The sequence below is a fragment of the Homo sapiens genome, chromosome 21 (assembly GCF_000001405.40).
Source record: "Homo sapiens chromosome 21, GRCh38.p14 Primary Assembly".
Taxonomy (NCBI): domain Eukaryota; kingdom Metazoa; phylum Chordata; class Mammalia; order Primates; family Hominidae; genus Homo; species Homo sapiens.
Genome location: NC_000021.9, coordinates 31,276,239 through 31,289,917, shown reverse-complemented (window position 1 = coordinate 31,289,917; position 13,679 = coordinate 31,276,239). Strand labels below are relative to the sequence as shown.

The window sequence follows — 13,679 nt, the reverse complement described above, 5'->3', positions numbered from 1 at the left end:
CTTCCCTTGTGTGTGGTCCCATAGATATTACTTGGCAGTGAATGTCAGGCTTTTAAAGCCTGTTGCTGTCATACTAGAAACAGATTTGCTTTGTGATTTTATGTATCGGTTTTCTGCATGGGGACTGATGTATCACTGTTTGAGAAACGTTCCCATGACTCCCCAGGAATTGCCTTTATATTAAAAGAGGCTGATTATCCTCTTATGATTTTTAGGGAGGGGAATATGGGCTCTGTTTGATTTTTGTTTTCTTCTACATAACAAATCTGATTCGCAATGACTTCATATGCTTTTTATTCTCTCCCAATTTGTCATTTGGCTAGGATGAACAGTAATTGTTGTACAGCCAAAATATCTTGCACCGGCTTTTAAATGAGCTTAGGTCACTTTTCTGGGGTCCAGCTCAGTGGTACTTTTGCCTTAATTGAATCACCTATACTGAAAAAAGAATACCCAGTAGAGAAAAATCTCATGGTGGTTACCATTGTGATGCCCGTGGGTTTTGACTTGAGAAAGTTAAAGAAATATGGACTTCTTTCCAGGCGTAGGGAGCACAAAAACTTCCAGACCATCCACCTAACTTTAAAAAGAATGGGTGCTTAGGAGAGTTGGGCCAAGTCACTTGTGTCCCATAGTTAACCCATGTCTTTCTTGCCATCCCTCTGTGCCCATCACCATGTGCTCCACTCTCATCCTTTGCTGGTCTGGTCACTCACATAAACCAGGGCATTGCCTGAGATCTGCATGGTGTTGCAAAGCTATTGACTTCTTATTTTATACACTCACAGAAAAGTTAAATGATTGTTCTTAAATGCTACATGTGTTTAAGTGGCACTTGGGCATGCTTATTTATGCATTGCAGATATATTGCACTGTGATTTGTACAGCTTTGATCATTGCCTGCATTCAGTGATCTTATTTAAATAATAAGAGTGAGTTCAAGATGTGAGTCAACAGCATGGTGGGTTTCCTGCAGCCTGAGAATATTTTGGAGACTGAACCCAAATCTGATTTACTTTTTAACTTTATGATGCCAAGGCTGAGGCATCCTATTTTTATTTTTGCATTAAATTATTGAAGCTGTTAAATCCATTTATTATTACAGGTATTGATTTAGTCCATACAAAGTGTGGTTGAGATAATGTTTGAAACTTCTGGCCTCTCATGGATAATTAGAGGGTTTGGTTTTGTTTTTGTGTGTGTTTTAAGTTCCATAAATCTGCATTGGAATTGGCCATTATTTGTGTCTCCATTCCAATATCCTCCCTGATCTAAGTTTTTTGGGAGTTGCTATGCTCTGAATGTTGGTATAAATTCATATGTTGGAACCTAATACCTGAATGTGATAGTATCATGCGGTGGGGCCTTTAGGACGTGATTAGGTCATGAGTGCTCTGCCCTCATAAATGGGATTCGTGCCCTTATGAAAGAGACTTGAAGGAGCCTGTTTGCCCTTTCTATCAGGAGAGGATGTATCAGGAAGGTGCCATCTGTGAGGAACAGGCCCTCATCAGATGCTGAATCTGCTGGCAACCTGAACTTGGACTTCCCAGCCCCTAGAACTGTGAGCAAGAAATTTCTGTTGTTTATAAATTACTCAGTCTAAGGTATTTTGTTATAGCAGCCCAAACATACTAAGGCAGGAAGGTTGTTTTTTTTGTTTGTTTGTTTTTGTTTTTTAACTGTATTGCTGTTCTAGTGGGTTCCAGTCCTTTGTTTTTGAGGTCCTTTGTGGAATGGACACCAAATTTCCAGTAAGATCACTGTGAGTGAATTGTGGCCCCTCAGGGATAACATTTGAATCTGGTGCTTGATTATACCTCAGAGTGGAAGGTGTTATTGTCACCTTCCATTTCAGTTACCAAGCCAGGAACTTCAGAGAAGTCTATGCCTCCTTGTTCTTCCTCCTTCTTTCCTCAAAGGATGTATGTGGCCACCGAGTCCTGGTGATCCTACCTGTCATTCTCACTACTCCAAGGCACTCACTGTCCCCGTTGGGCCATCCCAACTTATTGATGGCTTGCAATAAGTCTTTCCCTTCTCTTCCAAGCTACCCAGGTGGGAAAACTATGTTTGATCATGTAACTCCCATAATAAAATCTCATCGTGTAATCCCATCAAATACAATCATGTTCAGTTCCTTTGTGTAGCATCCATAGCCCCAGCCCATCTTTTTAGCTTCATCATCTCCAGCTTTTTCCCATGCACTCGCCTCACTGCAACATTGGGCTAATGATACTTTCATTCCTCAGAGTCTTTGCTTATACCCTTCTCTTTTACTGGAAATTTCTGTCCTTCTCTTTGTGTAAACTCTCTCCTATCCCTGTTCATTTCCTCTCATCCTCCTAAGCTAAGCCAAATCCTATTAACCTGTCAGGACCAGGTTCAACCGAGAGCCTCTCCTAGCAGAATTAGTCTATTTCTTCACATCCTTCACTATTAATAATGCCAGACTAGCTGTTACAGCCCTGTCTGAGTGGGTAGATGCCCACTGTCTTCCCAGATTATATGCATCATAAAGAAATGGTCTATTTCCTCATTCCAAACATATAACAGGTGCCCAGTAAAATGTTGGTTGAGTTGAACTGAATGTGTGATCATCAGTAAAATTCTACATAGATACTCTGTCTTACCCAAACAATTCATAAGCAGTTTTTAGATAGCCCTAAGCGTAGCTATTTAGAAGCCTATTTTTATATACTCTTTTTCATAAGATGCTGTCATTTGTAAAATGCACCACTATTTTGCATACCACTAAGAAGCAGAGAAAATGGCACCACTAAACCCCAATACACCATTGTGATTGTAAGATATATTCAATTTCAAAGATGTTAAGAGTCAAAAATAGTGTTTCTTAAAATCAATGAAATAAAGAATTATGTTTTTACATGTTAGAGCTTGTAGTCTTAATTGTATAACTGTGAAACAACTTGAAATGATTTGCAAATAAAAACTTAAGGTCATTTTTTTTTTCCATTTTAAAATGAGGAGTGACTAAAGGAGAATTTGGGACCAAGTGCCCAGGGAGTGACTTGGGACTCAAGGCCTTTTGACCATGGTTACGTCACTCTGTCTTGTGGTACCTCTGACAAAGTCCTCAAGTTTCAACCTCAGTTCTTCTCTTTCAAAAGAATCATCTGTATTTTGAAAATCTGTGGGAAGAATTTCTTTAAATAAATAAATGCACACACACACACAATTTGTTGAGACAGGATCTCTCTCTGTTGCCTAGGGTGGAGTACCATGGCACAGCCACAGCTCATTGCAGCCTTGATCTCCTGGGCTTAAGTGATCCTCCCGGGCAAGCCATCCCAGTAGCTGGGACTACAGGTGCATGCCACCACACCTGACTAATTTTTTTTTTTAATTGCTTTTACAGATGATGTCTTACTGTGTTTCCCAGGCTGGTCTTGAACTTCTGAGCTCAAGTGATCTTCCTGTTTCGGCTTCCCAAAGTGCTAAGATTGCAGGCATGAGCCACCAAGCCCAGTCCTTTAAATATTTTTATTTTAAAGAAATAGACATGAGGTCTTACCATGTTGCCCAGACTGGTCTCGAACTCCTGGGCCCAAGTCGTCCTCCTGCCTCAGCCTCCCAACATGCTAGGATTACAGGCATGAGCCACTCACTGTGCCTGGACCCTTTAAATATTTTTTTAAATCATTAACTTTAAAATGCAATATTCTTTGCTGCACTGCGATGTTTATTTAGTCTTTGATTAAAATCCTTCTGTTAGGTTATGCTACCTAAACACATATCAAGGTTGATGATATTCATAATATCCCCCTAGCAATGGTGCAACACAGGATCCTATTACAATTTCACTTTTTACATATGGAAACTCTTATTTCCCAACTATCATACTTGCCCAATACCTTTTAGTTATTAAATTAAGTTGCTGATCAATGATATACACACACTTACATACTTAATATTTCTAGATTCTCTTTCTTCCTCTCCACTTACAATGTCATAGCCTTAAAAGCTTTCTCATTATCTGGAAGACTGAACTCTCTCTTTTATTTTAATTAATTGATTAATTAATTAATTTATTTGTTGAGACGGAATCTCACTCTGTGCCCAGGCTGGAGTGCAATGGTGTGATCTTCGCTCACTGCAGCCTCCACCTCCTGGGTTCAAGCGATTCTCCTGCCTCAGCCTCCCGAGTAGCTGAGATTACAGGTGTGGGCCACCACACTCAGCTAATTTTTGTATTTTTAGTAGAGACAGGGTTTCACCATGTTGGACAGGCTGGACTCTTAACTCCTGACCTCAAGTTATCCACCCACCTTGGCCCCCCAAAGTGCTGGGATTACAGATGTGAGCCACCATGCCTGGCGTGAAATCTCTCTTTAACCATGTTCTGTTAAAAGAATTTCATGCCGTCAACACAAGTGCAACAGCAGCAGAGACAGCCCCAAGGTGAAAGCAGCAAGTCCATGGGGGGAGTGATTCTTTTTGGATGGGCCCTTTAGGCTCAAAGCATCCAGGGACAACAAGGCAGATTTTCACACCCCATCCCCGTGACCTTTCCAGCAGTGCTTGGGATTATCTTCTCTGTTGTCTGGATGCAGGCAGTCCCAGCCCTTGTTGCCAACAGGCTTAGTTGCCACCCTGGCCTCTTGAGTTCATGGCCTCACCGCCCCCCCCACAAGCTCTTCCCTGATTCCAGAGTGGCCACACCCCTCTGTGTGCGAAGGCAGCTATGGGTTGGGAATTGGCTTGGGGGGGTGGCTTGGGGAATGAAATCATAGCTGATGACCACATCCTGTTCTGCTTCCTGATGAAGGAAGGGGACCTCTTGATATCCTGACTGTATTTTTGGCTGAAAGACTTTCCTCTTGGCTGCATGGTAAGGGAACAGGTTAGGGGAAGCCAGGCTGTAGGGGTCAGAGGCCATCAGGGAAATTGCAGGTTGCACTTTCGTGCTTTTGGGTCACTGGGGCAGGTCTGGAGAATGTCTTGGAGGTAGACAGAAGCTGCTGAGTCTGAGAGTCCCTTGCGGTGCCTTTTTCCCTGACTTCCCATGTTGGGCCATGTCCCTTGGAATGGAGACTCCCTTGTCTCCAGGCTGGCTCAAGGCTGAACTTCAGGCTTGGAAAACAGAGAATTAGAACCAAATTCCTCACTTTGGGAAGCCAAAGTGGGCTGATCACTTGAGGTCAGGAGTTCAAGACCAGCCTGGCTAACTTGGTGAAACCCCATCACTACTAAAAAAAATACAAAAAAAAATTAGCCGGGTGTGGTGGCACATGCCTGTAGTCCCAGCTACTCGGGAGGTTGAGGCAAGAGAATCACTTGAACTTGAGAGGTGGAGGTTGCGGTGAGCCAAGATCGCACCACTGCACTCCAGCCTGGGTGACAGAGCGAGACTCCATCTCAAAAAAATAAAAAATAAAAAAATTCCTTTCCTGGAACTTCAGTCTTTGACAGTGAAAGAGGAGCTCTGTTTACCCTCCACCCCCCCTGCTGTGTGTCCTAGGAAGTGTGGCTTCCTCCTGTGCCTGTTGCAGCTTCTACAACTTACATGGGAGTGGGAGGCAGCTCTGTCCAAGGGAAGAGACCTAAGGGTGGCTCAATTTTGGAAAATGAGTTGTTGGATAAAGTGATTTGATTTTGACATCTCTTCTAAACCAAGGTGTTGATATGTTCTTGAGGCGATTATTTTGGTGTGCGGTTTAAGGATTATTACTCTCTTATGTTTCATAGGAGGTATGAAAACACTGAGAATGAATACTGTCCTCTCCCACTGTCTTCTTGCACGAGCTTAGATTACCTAGTTCTCTCACAGGGAACACCCTGTACGTTAAGCCACAGTGTGGTGAAATAGCAAAGGACAGATCTAAGCATTAGAAGTTAATGACATTCAGCTCCATTTCTATTTTCTTTGGGGATCAAATGTTCTACCCTGCCTTACGATGTAAGCGTGCTTTTTTGATGTGACTGAAACTTGGAATTTAGGAGCCAAGAGCGAGCCCAAAGCTGTGTTCTAGCATTCCATGGAAACTACTCTTGGAGTGTTGGGTGGAATTCCCAAGTGTTCAGTAGCTTTGCGGCTTTAAGAAATGGGAAAAGGGGATGGGCGCGGTGACTCATGCCTGTAATCTCAGCACTTTGGGAAGCCAAGGAGGGTGGATCACCTGAGGTCAGGAGTTTGAGACCAGCCTGACCAATATGATGAAACTCCGTTTCTACTAAAAATACAAAAATTAACTGGGCATGATGTGCGCTTGTAGTCCCAACTACTTGGGAGGCTGAGGCAGGAGAATTGCTTGAATCCCGGAGGCAGAGGTTGCAGTGAGCAGAGATCATGCCACTGCACTCCAGCCTGGGCGACAGAGCAACACTTCATCTCAAAAATAAATAAATAAATAAATAAAAAAGGGAAAGAAAAGAAAGAAAGAAAGAAATGGGAAAAGAGATGCTGCTTGGATTTTGGAGAAAGCACATGATTCTCATGGTGTGTCCTGAGAAAGTTATTACATCCATTTCAGCGAGCTGGGGCCTCATTTGAACCATTCCTAGAGTCAGGCTGTATGAATATTTGGGAGATTTGGACACTGGCCATGTAACACAGCCCTTGGGGGTCTGGTGGCTTCTAAACCCTGTTGGGAGGAAGCTTTGCAGGAAGTGATGTGGTGTCAGTGTTGCAGTATGTTGGCAGCTGTCAGTCAAAGGTGTAGTTGCAAGGTGATAAACACCAAGAACTTAGGGGAAGTCTAAAGAGCACTTTGGCCTGATGCCATGAACACAGTGCCAGCCAGATAGTAAGCTTTCCATAAATGGTAGCTCGCCCTAAGTTGACATACATAGTAACTTCACTTTGAAATGTACCGACTTTACTTCTAAGAAATATGGTAATGTCTGTCCTGGCTGAACCTGTTGATTAAGTATTGTCAAAGATTTACCGCTCTAAAATTAAAGTTATGATTTTAGATAGTTCCCAACTTGTGGTTGACTTAAACATATTGATTGTATGAATCTGTTCTCTTGCTTAGTTTATTTAGGATATATTTGGATACATTAGGAAGTAACATTGCCCAAAACTAGGGCAGTCTGTGGATATGGAAAGTTCTGGGGACTTTTTAATAATTTTCTGATTTGGGTGTCTTTTTATACCTGCCTTTGAAATATGGTGGGGCTAAAACTATTTCATTCATGCTTTATGGAGTAGGAACTTGGGGCCCTTATCATGGCTCATTCATCTGTTCGGAGGGATTGGTTTTTCACTGGGAGTCCTGGCCCTGCCCCAGGGCCGTCAGTGGGAAGGTAGGAAGCTTTGTGCATGAATCCTTATTGCTATCTCAGCTTTCACAGAAGCCAGACAGACACACCCTTGGTGAAAACAGTGGCTTTACACCAGATGGGGTGTGGTCATCTGTCAGCATGTCCCAGCTACAATCAGCTGTGAGCCAGAGAGTCCATCTCAAGGTCACCCCCACTCAGTCATGCTTCTGCACTCCGTGGAGGGCAGGCAGTGCTCAAGAAGAATTTCCTGGAAGGAACACTGTCTGTCCACTCTGCAGCAGTATCCTGCGTCTTCAAGACGGCTGCTTGCTGCTGAATTGCGGTTTTTAAAAAAATAATTTTCAAGACAAGAAACATTCCTATGAAATTTGTCACTGAGCCTCCGTGGAAGGATGAGGTCTAGAGCATTGCTCATCATATCACAGTGGCCTCAGAGGAACACCAGTGGAGATGCCTGTTTGATCCGAGTACCAAGAACCAAGAACTTTTGTGCTTCCTTTGAGCCATCGATTTGGACATTGTGAAATTTACAACTGCCATGTTTTTCCTATTTGACTTGGCTGTTATAAAGCTTACTGTTAAATGGAGCTAGATGTGTAGCTCAACAGGATATTCATGGTTACCCTCATTCCTCCTATTACTTTTTAAATTGTGTATCCTTAGAAGTCATTCCCAAGTTTTTTCTTAAGTAACAGTTTAAAAAGTGATGAAACTTCTTTAATTTCTGAGCCACTTAAAATTTTCTAATGTGCTAGATCCATCCATCTACATCCATCCATCTGCCCATCTACCATCCATCTATCCACCTACCACCCATCAATTATCCATTCACCATCCACTATCACTCTATCCATCCATCCACCCATCTACCATTCATCCATATCTCTATCTCCATCCACCACCCATCCATCCATCTACCATTCATCCATATATCTATTATCCATCACCGTCTGTCCATCTATCCATCCATCCATCCATCCATCCATCCACTTATCTGTCCATTCATCTACCCATCTACCATCCACCTATTTATCTGTCAGTACTGATTTGGGGTCTAAGTATGACTGTTAAAAGCTAAAGGCTGTTGGTGCTTATTGCATATGAAATACATGTTTAGGATTTTGATCCAAGACTTCTGCCCCCACTGTTTAAGCTCAATGTAAAGGAAAACCTCCTGATTGTCATTAAACTACTGGTTATGGAAAATTTGGGGACACTAAATCGTAGTAAACACAGTAAGAATTTCCATACTTACATAAATTTTATAGTTTATAGTGTTACATGTTGATTATCTAATTTCTTTCCTATAAGAAAAGGTATTAGAGGTAAGTATTGATAAGACAAATAATATTTACGTCCTCATTTTTTCTGATGGTTTTCAGAATGGGTAATTTACTATCCAAAAGTCACTTTATTTATGAAGTAATAGCACCTGAATTGAACCTGGGTATTTTGAGGGCAAATACAATACAGTATCCTTTTCTCTACACACTGATGCCTGGAACTTGCAAGGACTTAAAAATGACAGAATTTCCCTTATGAGTGTGTTTTTTTGTCGTTGTTTTTTTTTTTTTTTTTTTTTTTGAGTTAGGGTCTCACTTTGTTGCCCAGGCTATAACCTCAAACTCCTGGGCTCAAGGGATCCTCTGACCTCAGCCTCCCAAGTAGCTGGGAGTACACATACGCCACCACACCCAGCTAATTTTTTTTATTTTTTGTAGAGGTGGGTGTCTCACTGTTTTGCCCAGGCTGGTCTTGAACTCCTGTCCTCAAGCCATCCTCCCACCTCAACCTCCCAAAGCACTATGGTTACAGGCATGAGCCACTGTGTCTGTCCCCTGCCCCCCCACCCCCAAGTGTCTTTGACACTTTGAAGGTGAAAAAGAAAGTTCTGGTTTGGCAGACATTTTTGGAAAAGCCAAGGATTAAATGCTGTGGACACAGTATTTCTGACACCGTATTTTCATCTTAAATAATATTACAGGAGTGGAGCAGTGGGACTTCTCAGCCCCATCAATTTTTGCGGGTATTTGAAGCCTGAGATTAGTTTTGGTAATACTTCCAGTACACACATTTTCCTGTGAAAACTGCTTATTTGACACATGACACAGAAATTGGCCATATGAATTGAGGATTGTATTAGTCCATTTTCATCCTGCTGATAAACACATACCCCAGACTGGGCAATTTACAAAAGAAAGAGGTTTAATTGGACTCACAGTTCCACGTGGCTGGGGATGCCTCACAATCAAGGAGGAAGGCAGGGAGGAGAAAGTCACATCTTACCTGGATGGCCGTAGGCAAAGAGAGAGCTCGTGCAGGGAAACTCCTCTTTTTAAAACCATCAGCTCTCATGAGACTTACTCACCAATTGGGAGAACAGCACAAGAAAGACCCACCTCCATGATTCAACTACGTTTCACTGGGTCCCTCCCATGACACGTGGGAATGTGGGAGTTACAATTCAAGATGAGATTTGGGTGGGGGCACTGCCAAACCATATCAAGGATGCCTCAGAGTGAGACTGAAAAACTTGGTAATTTCAGCATTCGCTTCCCTAGGAGTCATCTTAACATAATGTAAGCAGGCCTACTGGTACTGCTGGATTTCATCAGTATGGCTGTGTGTGTGTGTGTGCGCGCACGCGTGTGTGTCTGTGTGTGTCTGTGTGTCTGTGTGAGCTGTAGCCGATTGAGTAGACCGCATGCATCTTCTAGCTGGATTAGTTAACTCTCCTTGTTCCACAGCAAATTTAAGGTGACTGATGTCATTCAATTTATAACATATGATTCAGTTTCAATGAATTAGGTATCATTTTGCTAAGGAAGCCTGCATAATACTGGCCCATTCTGTAGCACATTCTTTATGGTTTAAACATTTTAAATAGTAGTGGAAATAATAGCTAATGTTTATTGAGAACCGATCCTGAGATAGGGTAACATTTATTGAGAAACGATAATGGGATAGGCACGAGGCAAATTCTGTAACATAGATGATCTCATTTAATGCTCATGACAACCCAATGATTTAGGAATCTTATCATCCCCACCTGTTAGAGGGATAGGACATTTAGAGTTTGCCCCAAGTCACGCTGAAAGTAAAGATTTGACTTGCAAAGCCAAGATATGACCGGATGCGTGCAGCCCGACTCCCAGCTTGGACTCCCAACACTGAGCTTGGTACGTAGCTGTCTCCCAGTGAAACTGAGTTCTTTGCAGCTCTTGGAGAAAACCCAGAGTACTGATAGTTCCCAAATTGCCATGGTGGCATCCATTCACAAGGCCATGAGACAATTAACCTGCTGTAAGGGAAATGGATACGTACTTGTTGGCACATTGTGACCTTAGCATATCTGCTGATTGTGGAGCTCTTCATTAGTCCATGTCATGGATCAGTTCCGCAACCAGGGTCATAGGCAAATTTTTTCCCCACGAAAGTCAGAAAGAAGTTATACCAAATCGACTCCGTTTTGCTTTCCTTCGTGTTTTTCAAATAATGCCCTTTCTCTCTGTATAGTTTTTTTTTGTTTATTTATTTATTTATATATTTTTTTGTTCAGGGACTAGAAGAATATAGATAGAGAAAAAATTTTATTCTATCTGAATACGTAATTTTTTTAAAGTATAGAAAATGCATTATCAGCCTCCGTTGTGCAGGTGGAAGGACAGCCGCCTGCCGGCCTCCTTTGCCAGGAAGAATCCAGCCTTGCAAATTATTGGCAGCTGGCACCGTAATGAGTCCATTTCAGCATAAATGGGCTATTGCTTATTAATTTCTGCCAGTTCCTAAGCAATTCAGGAACTGCTTTGGAAATTCGGAAATTCGCAGAGAGCCGTTTAAGGAGGATGCCCAGGGAAAGGGAGCCAACCGGGTAGCAATGGGGGAATTGTGGAAAGGGAATATATTGTGGGGTAATAATGGGGTATTGCTGAGAACTCGTGCTCCTTTCCCTGCAAGCATGAGTCACTAACTTCATGGTTAAATAGCATATTTTCCAAGATAAGGAAGAACTGTCTTTGCTTATTGTTCCATTCTGGATAGACGTATATATTTATTTACTGCCTGTATGTGGCTCCTTTCCACAAAATAGGCAGTTTTCTTCATATTCCTGCTCAAAGTGTTTGTCATCTCAGGTTCCCACCTGCTGAAACCACCAGCAGCGGGCAGCCCCAGGGGAATGTCTGGGAAGAAAGTACCAAAATGAAGCCACCCAAAGAGGCCCTTCAGGCCTTTCTTTTGCTTGCCTTAGTATTTGTAATTTCACCTCTACCAGCAGGCTTTAAAAAGATGAAGGAAATAAAACAACCCCATTAACCCCACGTGTTCCTGGAGCTCTTGTCCATTGATTTTCCATGTTAAATTGCAGTTTGGATCTTTTACCTAAATTTTTTCCTGTGCATATTCTTCATGCATTTTCTCTGAATTTGATGTTTGCCTTCGTAAGAAAACGTGTATACAATGGAAAGTTCTATGTAAGTGATTTGGGCTTCTGTTTTACTCTCTTTCAGCATTTTCTTCAATGTTTGTTATAAATACAGCACTACTTTGAGAATAACTGAGGGTTGCTGGTTTCCTTTCATTTCTGTTTCTTGAGACTCTGAAGATTGAGTGGGACATGGGAATCATTCTGTAGTAACCTGTTTCTGTTGTCCAACACCTTAATATACACAGATAGATTAAAATAATAAGATAACTTAGTCTGTAGGGCTATGTATTACCCTAAATGTAAATAGGCTGGTGTGTATTTATTTATTTATCTGATTTAAGCCTGTCATTTTATGCCTGTATCCAAATGTTGCATCATTTGATTTGGGATGTCATATTGTTACAGGAAAGAGGTCCCGATCCAGACTCTAAGAGAGGGTTCTTGGATCTCGCACAAGAAAGAATTCAGGGAGAGTCTATAAAGTGAAAGCAAGTTTATTAAGAAAGTGAAGGAATAAAAGAATGGCTACTCCATAGACAGAGCAGCCCCGAGGGTTGCTGGTTGCCCATTTTCATGGTTATTTCTTGATGATATGCTAAACGGGGTGGATTATTCATGCCTCCCAGGCTGGAGTGCAAAGGTGTGATCTTGGCTCACTGCAACCTCCACCTCCCGGGTTCCAGCGATTCTCCCGCCACAGCCTCCTGAGTATCTGGGATTACAAGCACCTACCATCATGCCTGGGTAATTTTTGTATTTTAGTAAAGATGGGGTTTCACCATGTTGGCCAGGCTGGTCTTGAACTCCTGACCTCAGGTGATCCGCCTGCCTTGGCCTCCCAAAGTGCTGGGATTACAGGCATGAGCCACCACGCCCAGCCCATGCCTCCCCTTTCTAGACCATATAAGGTAATTTCCTGACATTGCCATGGCATTGTAAACTATCATGGTGCTGGTGGGAGTGTAGCAGTGAGGATGACCAGAGGTCACTCTTGTCACGATCTTGGTTTTGGTGGGTTTTAGCGGACTTCTTTACTGCAATCTGTTTTATCAGCAAAGTCTTTATGACCTGTATCTTGTGCTGACCTCCTGCCTCATCCCGTGAGTTAGAATGCCTTAAGCATCTGGGAATGCAGACCAGTAGGTTTCAGCCTCATTGTACCCAGCTCCTATTTAAGATGGAGTTGCTGTGGTTCAAACGTCTCTGACAGTATTTCACAAAAAGTTGACGTCATGGAATTGACGAAATGGGTTTGACAGAAAATGCCCATTTCCTTCCTTCTGCCTCATCCTTTTCTTTCTGTTTTTCTATCTCCTCTGACCTGCTCCTCTCCAGGTTTTTGGCGCATTCTCACAGACTTAGATGAAACTGTGATGGCCACCGCAGGGGGCAGGTGCTGACATCGTCCCCAGCCCTGTGGCTGTTCATCCGGACATCATTTCCAACCTCAATATCTAAATGCCACAGTGCTCTTGGAGCAAGTTGGGCTGGGGACCACTGTTGCCTTTTAAGGTAGGTTTGCATATGTATATTTGAGCCTATATGTTTGTATGAATTAATGGAAATGCTTCAAAGGTGGTGGGACAGATACGTTTTACTATCATTGTTGTGTGTAGCTCGTGGGAAAAAGAATTTGGAATCACTTCCTTGGATTAGGGTTACACCTATCTGACAATTCGAAAGCATTAGCGTTAAAACAAAACAGAAAAGACAAAGTAGGTGCCTATGAAATCCTTTCTCCGCTGTGAATTGCCCTCAGGATCTCGTAAATTTATCCCTGGGCTTCACCATCTTTATATCGGATTATGTTTGAAAAAGGCAAACCCGAGCTTCAAAATCTGACTTGAAAACAATGATATGTTTTGTTTCTGCTTTGGATAATCTTTGAAAAGTAAAAATAAACACAGTCAAAATAATAATCTTTTCAAAATCAAAGATCATCTTATATTTGTTGCAAAACTTTCCTGCTTAGTCTCTGGTGTTCAGGGTATTTGTGTGTGACTTG

General features: G+C 42.3%; 1 protein-coding gene across 12 annotated transcripts in view; it reads left to right on the top strand.

Annotated features, from left to right (window-relative positions):
• Nucleotides 1–13,679, top strand: part of TIAM1 (TIAM Rac1 associated GEF 1) — a 440,670-nt gene that overhangs the window by 269,170 nt on the left and 157,821 nt on the right. For 11 of the 12 annotated variants that reach the window (NM_001353690.1, NM_003253.3, NM_001353688.1 and 8 more), the window contains one exon: nt 13,010–13,186. The exons of the other annotated variant lie outside the window; for it this stretch is intronic. The gene's annotated coding sequence lies outside the window, so the exon portion shown is untranslated. The remainder of the gene's footprint in view (nt 1–13,009; nt 13,187–13,679) is intronic. 12 annotated transcript variants of the gene reach the window in all.